The following is a 22,714-nucleotide window of genomic DNA, read 5'->3' on the forward strand; positions in this document are numbered from 1 at the left end:
AAACTGGTTTTGCAGGGCTGAGTGGAGAGAAGCATTCACTCATGCACCCCAAATATATCTATGGCACCCCTTCTGAGTCAGGTTTTGACTTGATGCTGGCAATACAGAAGTGAATGAAACTCAAACCCTTCAAAGCCTTAAGGAGGCTGAAATTTAGCAGAGTTGATGCACATGAAAATGTTAACAAAACCAAGATAGACAAAACAATTTGTCTGTTGAAGGAGAAGGGTAATAAGAAAAGACTAACCAGGTCTAAGAGATTTTTCTTTAACTTTCAAGGGCCCTGTACTTGGCCTAGGATCACTACAATCTAGATGGATGGATGGAGGATGGAGGGATGGATGGATGGATGGAGCATACATTTGTTGATGACAGTGATGTAGAATAATTGTTAACATATTGGAGTTACTATCTTTCCCCTGCTAGCTAAAATAGATACTGGTTTAGTCCCTTTCCTTTCTGTATCCTGCAAAAAGATGCTTCAACTGCCACAAGTCTTCTTCCCAATCTTTGAGGGATTGGAAGAAAGATTAAAAGACAAAAATTTAAAAAAAAATCCCCCACATGCATGCTAATTCCTGTGAAGAAAAAAATTGAGAGTTAATGAACTATACCACTCCTACCCCTAACCTCTGCTCTATGTGGGTGGTGTGTGGTAGGAGTAGGATATCTAGAATGAGGAAAAGAGCTCTTTCTAGGTATGAGTTAGCAGTCCCAGAATGTTACTGGACTCACAGGCTAGGAAATGACAGGACTAGCATGTGCTCCCAAGTTGTATACAAGGTCCAGGTTGAAATCAGAATCATAGTTTGGATTATGTCTCCGTGATTATGTGATGAAAACACTAGCTTTCCTTGGACTCAGGGTTCAGACCCTGTGACTAGTTCTCGTCAATGAACTGTAAATGGACATGGTACATGTCCCTTCTAGGCTGATGCAAATAAGAGCTGGTGAGCTTTCTCCAGCTCTCTCTTCCCACCCTGGTGATCTAGAAATGATCTAGAAATACTAGATGTCATAATCAAGATGGAAGAGGCTGCCAGAGTGAGAAATCTATCTTTGATGTGTTATACCAAGGTAATACCAGGGTTTATTTGTTCTTGCAGCATAGCCTAGTATTATTATTACCAACACTTAACACCACTCTGACCATAAATTACTTGGGTCACAAGTTCATTACAGTTATTACAGTAATGCTAAATATTTTAAGAAGGTTTCATACTCATTTTTATACTGCTTCACCTCCCAATTTTTCACCAATCCTTCACCTCCCAATCCTTCATCAATTCTTGCCTCTAAAATATATCAGCACTTATACCCTGTTTTATCATCAGGTGCACATATATATATTTAATATCATACTTTTAATAAAAATGCAAGCCAGAAATTCAAAGAAAAAGATATTAACATTCATATCTATCCAAATCAATCATGGTTTGTTTTTCTTACAGACACTGTATTGGATGATGATATGTTTTAAACATGGTTTTTGTACAAACGAAAGACTTAGAAAGGCAATAATAGGAGACACAATTGATATTACATCTATGAGTGAATAGGAAACTGGCAATCTTGTTTTCAAGACAGTCCGTTTAATTTCAAAGAACATTTATAGAGGTGACTTGGAAGATAGATCATTTTTATTTCCATAGCTTTAGGGGTAAATTTTAACTACTCTGTCATTTTTTTTCTATTAAAAAAGATACAGAAAAAATCAAAATAAACTTAATTTTTACAAGCCACTAGCATAAATATTAAGAACAGCCATGAACACAAAGAAAGAAAAAAAAGAAGTAAAGAAAAAGAAAAAGCTTTTGGCTATTATGTTCTTACAATTTATCAATAGTGTCCCATAAAGTTTTTATGTGACTATCTCAAGATGTGATGGAAAAAAAAGTCATAAGTTTAAAATAAAACTCTCCCTGTAGTTCCCTCCTAATCAGTCTACATGTGAAGCTATGGCAAATATTACCTCTAGATTATGAAGGAAAATAGAAGGTAGACTCAAAGGAAAATGACAAAAAACAGAGCAAAAAATATTTTAAACAACACCATCACCCAGTAAACCATTATCCAGGTCTGTAGAAAGATGACAAAGTCTCTATCCATCTAATGTCAAGTATTGTAAAAGTCACAATTCTTCTTCTCTTTTTTCAGATTTTTAAATTTTAAAAATTATTTTTGGAAAATAAGTTTTTTTTCATATGGAGGTAAAGCGAAGCTCTAGTTGATGCGGGGCATGTTATGTAGGTGTTAGCAGTACTGCCTGCATTACATGCTCACTGGACACCAGTGCACCTCCAAGAAAAGAATAGTTGCAATTATTTTTCTATTTCCTCCTGGACCAATCGTCCCTTCATCCATCCATTCATTCATCTACCATCATGTATCCATTCCTCCATCCAACTCTGCATCCATGCATTCATTCAATTAATTCTCTAAATGTTCAATTATTCTATGAAATGCAAAGTGCCACCCTCAAAGAATGGTAAACTATGATGTAAATAATTTTAGAGCAAGGCTGAGGTTGCTCAGCCTTGTACAACATCATTACATCTATTACATAGATGTAATGTCTCTCCTATGACATAGGAGAGATACCCAAAAAGTGCTGGGAACGGAGAAGAAGTGATCCATCTCACAGTAGATGTGGAAAGACTTCATGCAGTAGAAGTCTGAAGGTAGGTTGAAGACCCAGTAGCAGCTAGTTCAGTGCCTTACAGATGAGGCTGAAGTGGAAAGCAGTATTATTAATAAGCAACTACCCATCTCAAAGCAGGTTTCTTAGCTGCCAAACAGACTGATAATAATTTCTTCAATCCACTCTTGAAAATCTCAGTCACTAAAAGCAGCAGCAAAAGTTTTACCATTTTCTTTAAAAACAAAAAATACAATGCAGATTGAGGTGGTGGATTCGTCATTTACTTTGTTTTGGTTTTAACTTTGTTAACCAGAAAGTTCCACAATGCCTCTCCGAGTGGGGCCTGCAATCAAAATGTCATCGGCTTGCCTCCTCCTGATTTTCCAATCTCTCAGGAAAATTGCTGTTTAAAAAAAATAGAGGAACATTTCAACATTATTTCTATGCAGCTGCCCAAAAAGGTGACATTTGGTTAATGTCAGCATTCAGGTATCCTTCACATCAGACCCTGTGATTTTTTTTTTTAACTTGGGGGTTTTACTTTTCTAGTGACAGCTACAATTATCCCCCACCTACCCATCCCCACCAAAAAAAAAAAAAAAAAAGCGCCAAATCCCTACCTTTGGGTATTGAAAAGGGAACTGAGATGTACCTCTGGAGACCATGCATGGGATTGCTGTTATGGAGAGCACTGAGTTACTGTTGAAGCAGCCAGCTTTGTTTTCTATTTTCCATTTCTCTTTTCTTACTCCCTGGAGACGCAGAGCTGGAAATTCTCTTTGCTAGAGTGGCAGGCTCCTCTCCTGTTTTCCCATTAGCTGCACCGCTATTTAATCAAGTGAGCTAATCAACTGCGGAGTTCTTAATGGATGTCAGTAACATTTCCTGTGTTATGATTGATGAATCTAACTTTGGACTTAACGCCTATGTTCAAAATTAGATGACAATAGAATAGAGATTAATACCTTTTTTTTTTTAAGCTGCGTTATGGCAGCGAGTAAAACTAGTTCTCTCACTAAAATAACCCCACATGGGTGGTACTAGAGATTATTTTAGGCAGAACCTGAACTATTTTAATTGTAATAACTACATACATTTTAACATGCATTAATGTGAATCTTCTATTTATGATGACTGATAGTATTTTTTCATTAGTGGTCATGATAAAAATTTCTTTTTTTATAAAAGTGAAAAAAATGAGTTCTCTCCGGTATGTGTGTGTTGAATAAATAATCCTCTATCCATTCCTTCTTCTGCCAAAAATCAAAACCATTTATTGAGTCATCTTTCTCCTATCTCTTCTACCTCTCCAATCCATTCCCTCCCTTAAAATAAAAGTTAACAAAATGCAGATTACCCATAGACAGGCCCTTAGGAATTGCCCTCTTGCCCTCCAGGAATGCTGAGTAAAATGAGTGTGGCGGTTGCCCACATTGCAGCTTCTCTCTGAGTATGGGTTTAAATCTGACTATTCAATCTAGAGCCCAGCAAGCACAGGCTTCCTTTACAGTGTCTTCTTTGTTCCCTCTTATTTTTCTTCCTTTTTTGATTAACCAACAATGCTTCTTTGTAATAATTTCAAAAGAACATCTTGATAGATTGCAACCATTAAAGGAGTTTCTCCACAGAGAAATGTACTTGAAATGTTCATCAGGTTGAGGGGAGAGGGGGGCCAGTGGGGGAGTCCTTAACAGTTATAATAGGGAAAACTAATAAGACTAAAAACACTCATTTCAATTCAATAGGGAAAGAGGTTTTTTTAATTATTAAGTTATTAAGACAACAAAATCATATTATTGCACTATAAAATTGAGCAAAATACTGAAGGATCTTCTGCGTAATAATAAAAAACCATATTATCTTGACTCTTTTTTAAAAAAATCTTCCTTCAGTCCCTAGAAACAGTAATCTCTTGATAATACAGAAACTCCAACACTTACCCATTTCTATAAATCCTTTCTCATGTGCATTACCTAAATTTCCTATCACTGTGTGCTATAACCTATTTAGAAGTCGGTCTCAATTTGTTGTGGTCTCAATTTGTTGTAGTCTCAATATGAACTGTTTTTATCTTTTTTAAGAATTATCACCAATTGTCCCTTGTAGAATTCCTGTGGCTCCCTGGGTGGACATGTTCTTAATGACATCTCAGTCTGATTGTGTAATTTGCTGGTCACTTTCAGCTATTAAAACCATCTCAGGTTGGTCCTTCAGGCTCAGCTGTGTTGCTGTCAAAGCGTCAATTGCGTATTAAATTCCAGGCTGCCTTCTTTTCCTACCCTCCTGAATACAGGCTAAAATGACGACCCCAGACGCTGGAGACAGAGAGGTGGGCAGCACCTGCAGTTTCCTGGCGAAACGAGGTGACATGAAGAAGAAAGAGAGAAAAGTGGACATCTCCTTTTGTGATCCCATCCCCCACGCCATGGCTGGGCTGAGCCTTCTCCTTGGCTAATTATAACCACCTATCTATTTCTTTTTCTCTGGGATGGAGGAATTTGAGCCAGGACTCTGGCAGGTGCTTCTGATAGGGCTTCACTCCACTCCTTGCCCAACAAGTAAAGCCTCAACTCCAGAATATGAAATTTAAGCCTCTTTACAATCTGATTCAAAACTCCCTTTCACCTCAACTCCTTCCCCACTCTACTCCACTCCAGGGACCCTATATTCCAAGTCTATGGCACCTTCCTTGGTTTGCCAAACGTGTTGTGCTGTGTCCTGCTTCCAGACTGGTCCATTTGCTTTCTTATCCCCCCAGTTAGATCACCTTCTGCTCTTCTCAGCTCTCTAAATTCTTATTTATCCACCCAGAGATCCTTGAGGTGCCTTGGTCATCTAGGCAGGTTGGGGGCTGGGGATACTCCTAGTTCATCAAGTTCTCTGGAATTCTGAAGCAGAGAAGTCTGGCTACAAGATTTAAATCCAGGTGAAAACTGAAATTATCCAAACCTTTCTATAAGTCCTCTGCACATCTAGGTATATTTTCCCCTCTGCTTTCAATACTTTCTACAATGTTGCCATAATTCTTCTATAACTAAAAGACAATTTAAAAATAACAATAAGCCATATAAAAAGCCATCAGGAAAACATTTACAATTTCTTCCACAAGCCCTGTTATTAATTCTCACATAAATGATGCTGCTTTCTTAAAACAAATGAATTATAAAAACAATGCAGCAAAATAAAACTGTTTTACTGAATGCTACTTTCTTGAGAAAATACACAAATTCTAGATACACACTACATACATGCATGCACAAACTGCATATACACTGCAGACATACGCACAAAATGGAATTCCATCAAGAGAGCTTTAATATATGGTCTTCTAAGTGAATAATGCAATGTGATGCTTCACACCAAAAACAACAAAATGCATTAATTAGATTATGTAAAAATACCATATTTTGTACCAGAGAATAAAGCAGTAGAAAATATTCTAAATTTACACATATAAAACAATGTGATTTTTACATGAGAGGGCATATTCATAATTGGCTATCTGAAATAGAATTTTCTATTGTGTTATTTATCTCCCCTCTTCTCTTCAGAATAAACAGAATGTATAGGAATTGGCCAAAGTTCAGAAAGAATATTTGCTTTAACTGAGTAAGACATCTCTGTTTCCTTTCTGAAATAACCTTTGTTTGAGGTTTCAGTGTGCTATATTCAGGGGAAGAGATACAAATTGAAAATTGATTTGGGCTTTTGCCTTCTTTAGAAAGTTTCACAAAATTTCCATAATGGTCTCCAGGGTGGTGGCTGGGCTGAAGTCCTGTGAGAGTCAGCACCCAGGCTGGGTAACTGACGGCCTTCACCTGATCGGACCTCTACTGGCCTGGGACACCAGACCTGAGTAGCAGATCCGGGCATGCAGCACCAGACAAATCTCTGTTCTCCGGCTCTTAGGTTTTCCCTGCTGTGCTATGGGGAGAATCTAGTACCACTTCTTCCATCAAGGCCAAAAGCATCATAGATTTTTAAATTTAATTCAAAATTCGATTTTATATTTGAGGCAGAGACTTTAGGGAAACATAATGGCTGGGTGGATCTATATGAAGCAGGATAATGATGTAAAATAAACACTAGCTGTCACCAGCTTCCAGAAAATTACATTACAGACCTTTTTTCCCCCCACCATCCAAGGTATGGATGTGATCGTATGACCCTTCACAAGGACAAGGTCATAGAATATGTGTTCAAAATCTGCTTTAAGACTGTACATAGAATTGTTGACGCTCTCAACTCCAGAAAAATGTCATACGGTCTCTTGATATTATGATTTCTGTTCACAAATTGCTCATGCTGGCAAGTGGCTGTTATTTAAAACAAACAAACAAAAAGCAGACACGAGTCCTTCCTTCAGTGGGAATTTTGACAGTATGGAGCCCGTACAGTGTAGTTAGAACTGAGAGTCTGGGAGTCTCCAGTGCTGAGTAGAAGTCCCAGCTCTGACAATAACTAAACGCATTATTTAGGGGGAAATCAGCTTCTGTCAGCCTCAATGCTTCAACTGTAAAGTTGGATGAAAATTGAGGGTCTTCAAATCTTTTAAAACTAGTTGAGAAATGCTTTGCTCAAGTGAATCTTATGCAAAGTCCCATAATATAGATGGATATTTGATTGTGCTACTCTGGTTGAAGGGAAGAGGTGTAGCAGAGGCCCAGCCAACATTGGAAAACCCTGGGATCTAAGGGCCAAGGTTTGCAATAGCCTGGGATACAGGAGATGAGTAGATGACTTCTCACAACCCTTCCCAACACTAAATCAGGGATTCACAAGATAGAGCCCATGAGCCAAATCCAGCTCACTGCCTGGTTTTGGTTTCATTGGAACACAGCAAGACCCACACCATTTATTTAAGTATTATCTATGCCAGTTTTCATGCTATACTACAGAAATGGGTAATTGTGACATGGCCTAAAATATTTGCTTTCTCTTCTTCCGTAGAAAAATTTGCCAACTGCTACACTAAATACTTTTAGCTCAGTACTTGGCACACAGTTGGCATTTCACCAATGCTTGCAACTTTGCCATCACCCCATTCTATACTTTAAAAAAAAGCTCGATGCCAAGTTACTGTTTGGAACCCTTCCCCGGTAGGAAGCCAATCTAAAAATATTACATGGACAAAGAGACTAGAACATGTAAATTGAATTTTAAATAATGTAAGTCAGTCATCGTTCCTATCATGCAACTAACTGATGCACAGAGTTACAGTATCACTTCCTTCCTATCAAAGTGAGCATGGTCCCAACCCAGAGACCTTCAGAAAAAGAAATTCGAAGTAGAAATCTCAAATAAGTCATGTTCCAACCTACTCACTTCCTCAGTTGTTCCAGTCAGGCAAAATGCAGAACCGTTCTCCTAAACTCTTAGTTAATTCTAGATTTCTAGATTTAAAAAAGAAAAAAAAAAGAAATGGGAGAGTCTACAAAGAGAAAACCAGTGGTGTAATGGGGTCATGTAGTCAATTAAAAGCAAATAAAATAACCAGTTTGGTTATTTGAAATCAAATCAGTGAAAACACCAAGATATAAAACCAAAATAAAATATTAGCAATATCAACAGCCTGGGAGATCAAACCTCTTAATAAAGCAAGTAATATTTATATTTCAACTTGGGATTTACTACTGCATGCGGAAGGTTCTTATTCATCACTCAAATGTGAAAAGCACAGGCTTTGGCCACTGGTTAATTATTGGATTGTCATAAACCACTTCATGCCTGGCTGTCTTTTTTCTAATAAGCTGACTTTGTTAGTACTTTTATTTTGTAACTGCAGCCACCTGACAAATGTCCTCTCATACCTGCTGTTTCACAACAGTCTACTGAGAGAGGGAAAAAATTCCTCTATGGATAGAGACTTCAAATACCTTACCATCTGCTCCCAAGACATAGAGCTTTAAAGCAGTAGGGGAGGAATACTGAACTGCCATTCTGATACCATATTAGGTTAGTAAGAGCCCTTAAGGAAATATATAACTTTTAAAAAACATATATAACTTCCTTTAAACATATATGCAGAGTTAACAACCTTATCTTAGATGCATTTTCAGTGAATCCTGAGAGAAGCGCTCTCTTCAGGCTGATTAGTAGTTATTTCTGAGATCCTGTAATTATCAAGATGACTAATTTAATGAGCACCATGACCAGTGTTCACATTCCTCATAGCCGGGTATGTGGCGAGGCTTGCCAAGAAAAAGAAAGGGGTGGTTTCACAGTCTCCTTACAGATAACATGAAGATCAGGATTTTTTTGCTACTTCTATCTTAGTCATATTTCATGAGCCAAAATAAAAATGGTATTTTTCTGACCCCTCTGGGTTCTCACAGCACTTCTGTCATCCAGCCATATCTGTGAGTACTCACTGTATGTCATGGTGTTGGCTGATCATGGTGTCAGTGACTCACCTCTCTGTGTGGCCACTCTTCAAGACTAGGAATCCCTTGAGAGCTGAGACAAGAGCTTGTTTATTGATAAGTCTCTTATCCCTGACATAACATCTGGCACATTTTAGGTTCTATTCAGGAAGTGTTTGTTGAGTTAGCTTACCCATGGCTCTGCTGGTATGGGGAAGCCCATGCAAGTTGAGGGCAATGCTACCAAACTGTGAAATCCTGAAGGATGCAAGCCATATTTCTCTTCTGTGTATCACCAATGCCTAGCACATAGTAGCTGCTAAATGAATGTTTGTGGAAAGAAGGAAAGACTTCCACTAGGGAGTGAAAAGTCCATTTGATAATATAAAAATCCAACTTCAACCAAATATGTTGTGGATCTAAATTAAGAGCCAACAAGCTTTTTCTGTCAAGGGCCAGTTAGAAAGTATTTTAAGGACTGCTGGCAAGAAGGCCGAATAAGAACAGCTCCAGTATGCGGCTCCCAGCGAGATTGATGCAGAAGGTGGGTGATTCCTGCATTTCCAACTGAGGTACCTAGTTTATCTCTTTGGGACTGGTTGGACAGCGGGTGCAGCCCAAGGAGGGAGAGCCGAAGCAGGGTGGGGCATCACCTCACCGAGGAAGCACAAGGGGTTGGGAACTCCCTCTCCCAGCCAAGGGAAGCCATTAGGGACAGTACTGTGCACTCCAGCCAAGATAACTGGGCTTTTCCCATGGTTTTCTCAACTCACAGACCAGGAGATCCCCTCCAGTGCCTACACCACCAGGGCCCTGGGTTTCCAGCACAAAACTGGGCAGCCTTTTGGGTAGACACCGAACTAGCTGCAGGAGCTTGGTGGGGGGAGGGGTGTCCGCCATTGCTGAGGCTTTAGTTCGCGGTTTTCCCCTCACAGTGTAAATAAAGCTGCAGGGAAGTTTGAACTGGGTGGAGCCCATGGCAGCTCAGCAAGGCTGCTGGGGCCAGACTGCCAGATTTCTCCTCTCTGGGCAGGGCATCTCTGAAAAAAAGGCAGCAGCCCGAGTCAGGGACTTATAGATAAAATTCCTATCTCCCTGGGACAGAGCACCAGGGGGAAGGGGCAGCTGTGGGTGCAGCTTCAGCACACTTAAACGTCCTTGCCTGACGGCTCTGAAGAGAACAGCAGACCTCCCAGCATAGTGTTCGAGCTCTGCTAAGGGTCAGACTGCCTCCTGAAGTGGGCCCCTGAAGCCCGTGTATCATGACTGGAAGACACCTCCCAGTAGGGGCTGACAGACACCTCATACAGGAGAGCTCTGGCTGGCATCTGAGAGGTGCCCCTCTGGGAGGAAGCTTCCAGAGGAAAGAACAGGGAGCAATCTTTGTTGTTCTGCAGCCTCTGCTGGTGATACCCAGGCAAATAGGGTCTGGAGTGGACCTCCAGCAAACTCCAGCAGACCTGCAGCAGAGAGGCCTGACAGTTAGAAGGAAAACTAACAAACAGAAAGGAAGAGCACATCCACTCAGAGACCCCCACCCAAAGGTCACCAACATCAAAGACCAAAGGTAGATAAATCCACAAAGACGGGGAGAAACCAGCTCAAAAAGGCTGAAAATTCCAAAAACCAGAACGCCTCTTCTCCTCCAAAGGATCACAACTCCTCACCAGCAAGGGAACAAAACTGCATGGAGAATGAGTTTGATGAATTGACAGAAGTAGGATTCAGAAGGTGGGTAGCAACAAACTCCTCCAAGCTAAAGGAGCATGTTCTAACCCAATGCAAGGAAGGTAAGAACCTTGAAAAAAGGTTAGACAAATTGCTAACCAGAATAACCATTTAGAGAAGAACATAAATGACCTAATGGAGCTGAAAAACACAGCACGAGAACTTGTGAAGCATACACAAGTAACAATAGCTGAATTGATCAAGCAGAAAAAAGGATATCAGAGATTGAAGATCAACTTAATGAAATAAAGTGAAAAGACAAGATTAGAGAAAAAAGAATAAAAGGAACAAACAAAGCCTCCAAGAAATATGGGACTATGTGAAAAGACCAAATCTACATTTGATTGGTGTACCTGAAAGTGATGGGGAGAATGGAACCAAGTTGGAAAACACTCTTCAGGATATTATCCAGGAGAACTTCCCCAACCTAGCAAGGCAGGCCAACATTCAAATTCAGGAAATACAGAGAACACCTCAAAGATACTCCTTGAGAAGAGCAACGCCAAGACACATAATCATCAGATTCACCAAGGGTGAAATGAAGGAAAACATGTTAAGGGCAGCCAGAGAAAAAGGTTGAGCTACCCACAAAGGGAAGCCCATCAGGCTAACAGTGGATCTCTCTGCAGAAACCCTACAAGCCAGAAAAGAGTGGGGGCTAACATTCAACATTCTTAAAGAAAAGAATTTTCAACCCAGAATTTCATAACCAGCCAAATTAAGCTTCATAAGCAAAGGAAAAATAAAATCCTTTACAGACAACCAAATGCTGAGAGATTTTGTCACCACCAGGCCTGCCTTACAAGAGCTCCTGAAGGAAGCACTAAATATGGAAAGAAGCAACCAGTACCAGCCACTGCAAAAACATACCAAATTGTAAAGACCATCGGCACTATGAAGAAACTGCATCAACTAATGGGCAAAATAACCAGCTAGCATCATAATGGCAGGATCAAATTCACACATAACAATAATAACCTTAAACGTAAATGGGCTAAATGCCCCAATTAAAAGATATAGCCTGGCAAATTGGATAAAGAGTCAAGATCCATCAGTGTGCTGTATTCAGGAGACCCATCTCTCGTGCAAAGACACACATAGGCTCAAAATACAGGGATGGAGGAAGGTTTACCAAGCAAATGGAAAGCAGAAAAAAAGCAGGAGTTGCAATCCTAATCTCTGATAAAACAGACTTTAAACCAACAAAGATCAAAACAGACAAAGAAGGCCATTACATAATGGGAAAGGGATCAATGCAACAATAAGAGCTAACTATCCTAAATATAAATGCACCCAAAACAGGAGCACCCAGATTCATAAAGCAAGTTCTTAGAGACCTACAAAGAGACTTAAACTCCCACACAATAATAGTGGAAGAGTTTAACCCCCCACTGTCAATATTAGACAGATCAACGAGACAGAAAATTAACAAGGATATTCAGGACGTGAACTCAGCTCTAGACCAGGCAGACCTAATAGACATCTACAGAACTCTCCACCCAAATCAACAGAATATACATTCTTCTCAGCACTTCATCACACTTATTCTAAAATTGACCACATAAATGGAAGTAAAACACTCCTTAGCAAATGCAAAAGAATGGAAATCATAACAAACGGTCTCTCAGACCACAGTATAATTAAATTAGAACTCAGGATTAAGAAACTCATTCAAAACCACACAACTACATGGGAACTAAACAACTTGCTCCTGAATGACTACTGGTAAATAACAAAATGAAGACAGAAATAAAGATGTTCTTTGAAACCAATGAGAACAAAGGCTACCAGAATCTCTGGGACATATTTAAAGCCGTGTGTAGAGGGACATTTATTGCATTAAATGCCCACAAGAGAAAGCAGGAAAGATCTAAAATCGACATCTTAACATCAAAATTAAACGAACTAGAGAAGCAAGAGGAAACAAATTCAAAAGCTAGCAGAAGACAAAAAATAACAAAGATCAGAGCAGAACTGAAGGAGATAGAGACAAGAAAAACCCTTAAAAAAATCAATGAATACAGGAGCTTTTTTTTAAAGATCTACAAAATACATAGACTGCTAGCCAGACTAATAAAGAAGAAAAGAGAGAAGAATCAAATAGATGCAATAAAAAATAATATAGGGGATATCACTACTGATCCCGCAGAAATACAAACTACCATCAGAGAATACTATAAACACCTCTAAGCAAATAAACTAGAAAATCTAGAAGAAATTGATAAATTCCTGGGAAAATACACTCTCTCAAGTCTAAACCAGGAAGAAGTCAAATCCCTGAATAGACCAGTAACAAGTTCTGAAATTGAGGCAGTAGTTAATAGCCTACCAACCAAAAAAAGTCCAGGAACAGACGGATTCACAGCCGAATTCTACCAGAGCTACAAGGAGTTGCTGGTATCATTTCTTCTAAAACTATTCCAAGCAATAGAAAAAGAGGGAATCCTCTCTAACTCATTTTATGAGGCCAGCATCATCCTGATACCAAAACCTGGCAGAGACACAACAAAAAAAGAAAATTTCAGGCCAATATCCCTGATGAACATCGATGCAAAAATCCTCAATAAAATACTGGAAAACCGAATCCAGCAGCACATCAAAAAGCTTATCCACCATGATCAAGTTGGCTTCACCCCTGGGATGCAAGGCTGGTTCAACATATGCAAATCAATAAATGTAATCCATCACATAAACAGAACCAATGACAAAAACCACATGATTATCTCAATAGATGCAGAAAAGGCTTTCGACAAAATTCAACACGACTTCATGCTAAAAACTCTCAATAAACTAGGTATCAATGGAACATATCTCAAAATAATAAGCTATTTATGACAAATCCACAGCTAATGTAACACTGAATGGGCAAAAAATTGGAAGCATTCCCTTTGAAAACCGGCGTAAGACAAGGATGCCCTCTCTCACCACTCCTGTTCAACACAGCATTGGAAGTCCTGGCCAGGGCAATCAGACAAGAGAAAGAAATAAAGGGTATTCAAATAGGAAGAGAGGAAGTCAAATTGTCTCTGTTTGCAGATGACATGATTGCATATTTAGAAAACCTCATCATCTCAGCCCCAAATCTTCTTAACTGATAAGCAACTTCAGCAGTCTCAGGATACAAAATAAATGTGGAAAAATCACAAGCGTTCCTATATACAAATAACAGACAAACAGAGAGCCAAATCATGAGTGAACTCCCATTCACAATTGCTGCTAAGAGAATAAAATACCAGGAATACAACTTACAAGGGATGTGAAGGACCTCTTCAAAGAGAACTACAAACCACTGATCAAGGAAATAACAGAGGACACAAATGGAAAAACATTCCACGCTCATGAATAGGAAGAATCAATATCATGAAAATGGCCATAATGCCCAAAGTAATTTATAGATCCAAAGCTATCCCCATCAAGCTACCATTGACTCTTTTCACAGAATTGGAAAAAAACTACTTTAAGCTTCACATCAAATCAAATCAAATAAAAAAGAGCCCGCATAGCCAAGACAATCCTAAGCAAAAAGAGCAAAGCTGGAGCCATCATGCTACCTGACTTCAAACAATACTACAAGGCTTCAGTAACCAAAACAGCATGGTACTGATACCAAAACAGATATATAGACCAATGGAACAGAACAGAGGCCTCAGAAATAACACCACACATTTACAACCCTCTGATCTTTGACAAACCTGACACAAACAAGCAATGGGGAAAGGATTCCCTATTTAATAAATGCTGCTGGAAAAACTGGCTAGCCACATGCAGAAAACTGAAAGTGGATCCCTTCCTCACACCTTATACAAAAATTAACACAAGATGGATTAAAGACTTAAACATAAGACCTAAAACCATAAAAGTCCTAGAAGAAAACCTAGGCGATACCATTCAGGACATAGCCATGGGCAAAGACTTCATGTCCAAAACACGAAAAGCAATGGCAACAAAAGCCAAAATTGACAGATGGGATCTAATTAAACTAAAGATCTTCTGTACAGCAAAAGAAACTATCATCAGAGTGTACAGGCAACCTACAGAATGGGAGAAAATTTTTGCAATCTATCCATCTGGCAAAGGGCTAATACCCAGAATCTACAAAGAACTTAAACAAATTTACAAGGAAAAAAAAAACAACCCCATCAAAAAGTGGGCAAAATACATGAACAGATACTTCTCAAAAGAAGACATTCATGCAGCCAAAAAACATATAAGAAAATGCTGATCATCACTGGTCATTAGAGAAATGCAAATCAAAACCACAATGAGATACCATCTCACACCAGTTAGAATGGTGATCATTAAAAAGTCAGGAAACAACAGATGCTGGAGAGGATGTGGAGAAATAGGAATGCTTTTACACTGTTGTGTAAAAACATTGGGAGTGTAAATTAGTTCAACCATTGTGGAAGACAGTGGGCAATTCCTCAAGGATCTAGAACTAGAAATACCATTTGACCCAGCAATCCCATTGCTGGGTATATACCCAAAGGATTATAAATCATTCTACTATAAAGACACATGCACATGTATGTTTATTGTGGTACTATTCACAATAGCAAAGACTTGGAACCAACCCAAATGTCCATCAATGATAGACTGGATAAAGAAAATGTGGCACATATATGCCACAGCATACTATGCAGCCATAAAAAAGGATGAGTTCATGTCCTTTGCAGGGACATGGATGAAGCTAGAAACCATCATTCTCAGCAAACTAACACAAGAACAGAAAATCAAACACCGCATGTTCTCACTCATAAGTGGGAGTTGAACAATGAGAACACATGGACACAGGGAGGGGAACATAACACACTGGGGCCTGTCAGGGGGTGGGGGCAGGGCGAGGGATAGCATTAGGAGAAATACCTAATGTAGGTGATGGGTTGATGGGTGCAGGAAACTACCATGGCATGTGTATACCTATGTAAGAAAACTGCACGTTCTGTACGTGTACCCCAGAACTTAAAGTATAATTTAAAAAAAAGAAAATATTTTAAGCTCATGGGCTCTATGGTGTCTGCTGGAATTGCTCACTTTTGTGGTTGCAGCATTGTGACAGTTAATACTGAGTGTCAACTTGATTGGATTGAAGGATACCAAGTATTGATCCTGGGTGTCTGTGAGGGTGTTATCAAAAGAGATTAACATTTGAGTCAGGGACTGGAGAAGGCAGATCCACCCTTAATCTGGGTGGGCACAATCTAATCAGCTGCCAGTGTGGCAGAATATAAGCAGGCAGAAAAATGTGAAAAGAGAGACTGGCCTAGTCTCCCAGTCTACATCTTTCTCCCATGCTCGATGCTTCCTGCCCTCGAACATCAGACTCCAAGTTCTTCAATTTTGGAACTCAGACTGGCTCTCCTTCCTCCTCAGCCTGCAGACAGCCTATTGCATGATCTTGTGATTGTGTGAGTTAATACTTAGTAAACTCATATATATATATATATAGAGATATATACACACACATATATATATATATATATACACGCATTCCATTAGTTCTGTCCCTAGTCTAGAGAACACTGACTAATACAAGCATGAAATCTATCGCAGATAACAGGTAAGTGAATGACTGACTGTGTTCCAATAGAACTTTACAAAATCAAGTCATTGGCTAGATTTTCTTGCCAGCCATAATTTTCTGACTCCTGATATAAATAAAAAAGGCAAAGGCTTTTAGAAGATAATAAACTTCATGCATAATCTTGGCATAAAGAAGGAGTGTTTTAAATAAAATACAAAAAGCAGTTGCCATTCAGGAAAATAATTTGTAAGTGGACTATATTAGAATTAAGAACACTAGCATACTGAATAGCCATGAAATGAGCAAACTGTAGCTATTGATACGATGTGAATAAGCCTAATATGGTTATAGCATAAAGGTGAACAAAAGAGGCAGCACACAAATGTACACACACACACACACACACACAAATCAAGAAAATAAAAAGACAAGCCATAGGGTAGAAAAGGAATGTGTCATTTATATAACAAGCAAAGACCATCTACCTATAATACATATTTTTTAAAACCCTGTACTATATATCAATAAGGAAAGACGATAAGGAAAAGACAAGCCCAAAAGAAAAATAGAAAATGATAAGAACAAACATTTCACCCAAAAGTTATGTCCAAATGGCTGATAAACATGAAAATATGACTAACTTCATTAGTAATCAGAAAAATACAAATAAAAATCACAATGATGTACCACTGCATACCCAACATAATGATAAAAGTTAAAGACTAATAATACCAAGTATTGGTGAAGATGTCAACAAACAGAACTCTGTTGTGCTCCTCTAGGAAAGAGAATGGGTGCCACCCTTTTGAAAAATAGCTTATCACTCTATATTCATGCTGAACATACTCTCCTAGGTGATAACTAAGAAAAACACACGTCCAGGTGCAACAAATACATATTTTTAAATGTGCATACAGCATTATTTTCTGGAAACAACTGGAAGCAACCCACGTTCATCAGCAGTGGAATGAATAAATATTCATACAAAGGAACTTTCTCCAGCAATGGCAAACAAACCACAGCTGCACTCACAATATATATAGAGTTCACAAACCTAATATTGACAGGAAGAAAAATTTAAAACCCAGACACAAATCAATACAGGCATTATTATTCAATGTACATAAAGTTCAAAAACAGATAAAACATAGACAATGGTTATCAGACAAGTTGGTCCCACGGTCAGTTTGAGGGAGTGGAGAGAGATTATGACTGAGGCAGTCATGCTTTGGCTCTGCATTTCTGGCCATTTGTTTCTTGACGTGTGACTACAAAGGGATTTGCTTAATTGAAATTTAATCAGCTGTATATTTACATATGTGCACTTTTCTGTATTTGGTGATGTTTCATAATTTTTTAAAAGGCTTTATGTTACCTGGAGCCTGCCACAGGGACCTGCCACTGTAAAATGAGATGTTTAAATAAAAATACCAGCTTCAGCAGAGCTCCTTTCTTTTCATTGATGCCACTGCATTATAAAGTACATGTCAGATCAGTTACGGTGAAAGTGGCATAACATGACTTCCAAGGCTAGGTCATAAAAGGCCTCCCAGCTTCTGTACGGCTCCTTTGCCATGCTCATCCTCAGGATGCTCCCTGTTGGAACACAGCCACCATGCTGTGAGAAGCTCCAGCCACACTGAGGCCAATAGGTCCTCCAGTTGAGAGCCCCAGCTGAGCCCAAACTTGTCATCATCCCAACCAGGAACCAGCCACGTGAGTGAACAAACCTGCAATAGATCTCCACCCCCAGCCATTGAAGTCTTCCCAGCTGTTTCCCCAGACATCCTGGAGCAGAGACAAGCTACCCTCTTACCCTCAACCCATGCCCATAGAAGTTCCCAACCCACAGAAATCACAAGCACAATGAAATGGCTATTGTGTGGGGACATCAAGTTACTAATGTCTGTTTCACAACAATAGCAATTGGGACAAGTCACCATAACTCCATTACTTCCAGTTGTTGTAAGGACTTCATGAAGATAGGCATTTTATTCACATTTTCTGTAGGGCATAGGTAAGGCTCAGAGTATGAGGTGAATTGCCTCGTGTTGTACAGTGGAGCCTGGATTTAAACCTGAATATGTCTGTCCTGACAGCCTGTGCTCTGCCTGTATGTGTTATAGACTGAATGTTTGAGTTCTTCCCAAATTCATATGTTGAAACCCTAACCCTCAATGTGATGGTATTAGGAGGTAAGAACTTTGGGAGGTAATTAGGTCATGGAGGTAGAGCCCTCGTGATGGGATTAGTGCCCGTAAATGAACAGACAAGGGAGAAAGATGATTTCTCTCTTCACCACAAGAGGTTAAAGAAAGAAGGCACCCATCTGCAAATCAAGACGAGAGCCCTCTCCAGACACTGACTCTGCTGGTACCTTAGTCTTGGACTTCCAGCCTCCAGAACTGTGAGAAATAAATGTTTGCTATTTAAGCCTCCCAGACTATATTTATTTGTTATAGAAGCCCAAGCTGACTAAGGCAAGAAATTGGTGCTAAGAAGTGAGATGCTGCTGTAACAAATACCTGAAAACGTGGAAGTGGATTTTGAACTGGGTGATGGACAGAGGCTGGAAGAGTTTGATTTTACAGGTTCACAGATTTAGCACAATTTTGCCTAAGGATGAATCACACTTCAAGTCTCACCCATACTTGATATAGTTGACACTTAGATAAACTTTGGACTTTAGATTTTAAAGTTGATGCTGGAATGAGTAAGGCTATCTGGGGCTGTTGGGGTGGGATAAGTGTATTTGCGGTATGTATTTGGAAGGTCTGGGGAAGAATGCTATGAACTGAATGTCTGTGTCCTGGCAAAATTCGTAATTTGTTATAGCAGTCTGAGCTGAATAAGATGTAGACCACACTGCCTTTCTTTCAGGGATGAGTTCATCACCACAATGAAATACTTCAGAAATGTGTGTAACAGCAATAAGAGAGTTTTCTCGATGTTACACTAGATTCAGAACAGAGCCAGACCACCAGAATTTTCATAGGACTAGGAGGGTTTAAGGTAGGCTCTGTCATATAACAGCTCCATGACACAGGCTATCTGCCCAGCCCCATTTTCTCACCTGTGAACTACTGCCCAAGACACTGTGACATATCATGGGATAATACCCACTTTGGGCTACCTTTGAGGATTTTTATAAGAATAGAAATGAGACATTAAAAGTAATAATAATGCCATCAGACACACTGCTTCTTGGCCAATTGACTGATTTTAAGAATGTGAAATTCTCAGCCATTTACATAGCACTTTGTTGGTTTCAAAGGGTTTCCACAACACACATTGGGTAAAAAGCACTCAGTAAATTGTAAGGCACAATGACAGACTGCATTATTATTGACATATAGGGAGACAATAAAAGCCAGAGAGTGCCAATCAGCTATGGTGATGACCCAAAATGCGGGTAAAAGGGAATAAAAGAAGGATGGGGCATGACATGGAAATGGAGTTTTCTCTGTATCATTGGCATCAGATACACAAAATAGTGTCAATTCACCAGAACCGTATCTGGATGTTCCCTTTCAAGCTAGCCACTGAAATTTTCAAGATTTCAGAATTGGCAAAAACTATACAATCTTATAGGAAAAATTTTTCTCCCGACTTTGTTCCTTCAGATAAGGACTCAGCAAAACTCTTCCACATCACATGCAGGAGAAAAACAGTGAAAGCCTATCAGTATAGTATCATGGCCAATGTGATGTTCTACTTTGTGAGCTGAATCTCTGCAATAGTACACGAGTCTAGGATCCTCAGAAAAATCCACCCCCTGACAAAAGAGTGGTTGTGACTTCAGTCAGTGGTCTCAATTCAAGGACTTCCTGCTTTTCTAACCTATAGGAGTTTAAAATGTGCTGGGTGACTTGATCTGATTTTTTTTCCCCATTTCATCACACACAATGAAACAGAACATGAGGTCAAGAAAAATGTAGAATGGAAATACATTTTCTTTCCCTGGAAATAGATTGGAAGATGACAGATCATGTTCTGAAATGATTTTTACTGCTCTCTAAGGAGCAAAATACAATGAAAGACTCAAAAAGTAGGGTTACAGGCCATTTCCTTGCACAGTGTTTGAGCTGATGGATTTTATTCTTGGAATGTTTTATTGTATTCTGCTCCTTCTGGGTGGGGAAAGTCACTTCAGAACTTGCCCAGCTATCTTCTGCTTTTAGTGGAAACTGTAATGGAGTCAGGGGTTGGACTGTCTTTTCTTCAAAGGACAAAGGATTCCTTTGTTGGTTCTATGGGACTCTTCCTATGTTCTCAAACCATGTTAAGTTTCATGCCTGACCCAGCACCATAAATATAGTTGGTGATCAAGAGATGGTTGGTTATTCATTCAAATATTCATTGTGCTAGACCCTCAGCTCAGCTAATGAAAGAGACAATCTCTGCCCTCAAAGAACTCCTGATGTAATGGCAGTGGCACTGGGCACTGAATGCTGTAGCAGGAGTGGCAGAGAGGTCTAGCTATCTGCTACAAATTAGTGCTCCCATTCATAAGGTAGTTGCTGGGAAGCAGTTGCCCACTACATTTCTAGCCTCTTTTGCATATAGGTGAGCTCATACTCACCATCCCCCAATCCTCCCTGCAAAAGAGTGAGAGAAAGAGGCAGAAGTGGTCCATAAGGACCATAACACTTTCTGAGCAATTCACCATCCTCTCTCTCTTCCCACCTCTGTTGACTGGATGTCAATGTCTTTGGGAGCCACTAATGAAGGTGGCAAGACTCCTTGTCAGCCTGAGTCCCTGAGTGGCTCTATGGAGCAAAGAGTAAGCCCTCATACCCTGCATTGCCACCCTGCCATCAATGACTGGACTGAGATTCATAAAAAATAATCTTTTATTTTATCAAGCCACTGAGATTGGAAAATTTATCTATTGTCACTGCTAGAACATTTGTTCTATTAACTATTCATTTAGCACCCTCCAGTTCATTCATTCATTCATTCATTTTATGTATTTGACACACTTACTGAGAGCCTCCTGTTGGCTAGGCATAGTTCTAGGCACTAGCGACACCAAGGCAGGGGAAGTGGAGTGACAGGAAATAAAAATACACAAGGTAATTGAAACTGAATAATGCTATGAAGGAAAAAACAAGCACTGCTGTAATGGAGAATAATTGAGAAACATCTGTGAGGAGTTGACAATTTGGCCTGAGACCTGAAGGCTATGAAAGAGCCAACCATGTACGTATTTGGGGTTAAAGCACTACAAGCTGAAGGATCAGAAAATATAAAGGCCTCAAGTAAGAAAATTAATAGACATATTCCAGGAACCGAGCAAAGGTGTGTGTGCCGTGCAAGCTAGGGCAGGACAACAGGAATAAACTGAGACAACGTAGAAGCACCTACAGAACCAGGAGATGCGGTCACCCTCCTCATGGCCTTCCCAACACTGTTCCAAGGCCAAACACTGCCATCCTGTAGTCCTAGAGCCTTACTCCTTCCCAGTGCTCCATGCTGTGGCTGTGGCTGCCCCGGTGAGAACTGATCACTGAAAGAATTTTTTTCAGCAGCTGCAGCAACAAGCATAACTCCAGAATGCCACTTGGAATCATCTGCTTCAAGCAGCAAAACATTAAATGTTTTGAATTTTTTTTAAAGTGGTAAAACTTCTAATGGCTTGAGCGTCCCTTAAAATCTTGACCTGAGGATTTTAGGAAAGCAACAACACACAAATTGCTAAGTCTTTCTTTATGAAAAAATAAATAAAGGATAATGGCAATAGCATCACTGTGAAGTGTTTCCCCTAGTAGGGAAAGAGGAAATTGTAATAGTTTCAATTTGGGATCTGGGGACCACATTTGATATGAACTCTTCTGCCCTTACATGAAATATTGAATTAATTTCTGTTATCAATTGGAATATGTTGCTGTCTTATTCACTGTGAATTACCCTGGCTGAAAATATTTGCTATTTTTTTTTCTCCTACAGATTCTCCTGTGTCAGTAGCCTGGGGGATACACTGTCTGATTTAGTTACAGAGAAAATCACTGTTTTTATTTGATGCCTATTTTTTTTTCCAAGGGGACAAGAAAAACATTCTCACTGGTATCAACTTGTTTCTAAGGAAAGAAGAAGGTGCCATTTCACTAAAAATCTATCATACAGTCCAATAAATGAGGTTACTCTGAACTGGCCTGGGGAAAAGCTCCTGGAGATGAAATAAGTAGGAAGGAGAATGTGATGCTGAAATGAAAGAGAAGACTCGAGTAGTTCCTGTTGTTACCTCAACCCTGGGGACAACGGGAACAGAAGCTTTGGCTTTCAAAGGTCCCTACAGGGGAAGAAGGGTTGGGAAGAGTTGAGAGTGAGAGAGGTAAATGGAGTCAGGAAACTGGATTCTGGGGCTGATTCCATTCCCAAGTGAAACTAAGTAGGTAATTATCACTGTGGGTCTCAGTTGCTTTATCAGTAACACGAATTTGGTTTGGTCTCTGCCAG

General features: G+C 39.6%; 2 long non-coding RNA genes and 1 pseudogene across 2 annotated transcripts in view, besides 2 other annotated features; all 3 read right to left on the reverse strand.

The window, feature by feature from the left end:
- LMCD1-AS1 (LMCD1 antisense RNA 1) overlaps positions 1-22,714 on the reverse strand; it is a 280,512-nt gene that overhangs the window by 141,186 nt on the left and 116,612 nt on the right. The gene's annotated exons all lie outside the window — the stretch shown is intronic.
- On the reverse strand, positions 1,576-3,446 carry LOC107986010 (uncharacterized). Its single transcript, XR_001740421.2, has 2 exons — positions 3,262-3,446; positions 1,576-3,044 (listed from the first exon to the last, which is right to left on the reverse strand). It is a non-coding gene; the product is annotated as an uncharacterized LOC107986010 (long non-coding RNA).
- RNU4ATAC17P (RNA, U4atac small nuclear 17, pseudogene) lies at positions 2,197-2,316 on the reverse strand (annotated as a pseudogene).
- Positions 9,422-9,954: an enhancer, noted in NCBI's record as "H3K27ac-H3K4me1 hESC enhancer chr3:8413440-8413972 (GRCh37/hg19 assembly coordinates)". NCBI's record gives its function as "activates a minimal SCP1, AML or CMV promoter by ChIP-STARR-seq in naive H9 embryonic stem cells {active_cell/tissue: H9 hESC(naive)}" and the evidence as "EXISTENCE:reporter gene assay evidence [ECO:0000049][PMID:30033119]".
- Positions 9,955-10,485: an enhancer, noted in NCBI's record as "H3K27ac-H3K4me1 hESC enhancer chr3:8413973-8414503 (GRCh37/hg19 assembly coordinates)". NCBI's record gives its function as "activates a minimal SCP1, AML or CMV promoter by ChIP-STARR-seq in primed H9 embryonic stem cells {active_cell/tissue: H9 hESC(primed)}" and the evidence as "EXISTENCE:reporter gene assay evidence [ECO:0000049][PMID:30033119]".

The sequence above is a fragment of the Homo sapiens genome, chromosome 3 (genome assembly GCF_000001405.40).
Source record: "Homo sapiens chromosome 3, GRCh38.p14 Primary Assembly".
Lineage (NCBI taxonomy): Eukaryota > Metazoa > Chordata > Mammalia > Primates > Hominidae > Homo > Homo sapiens.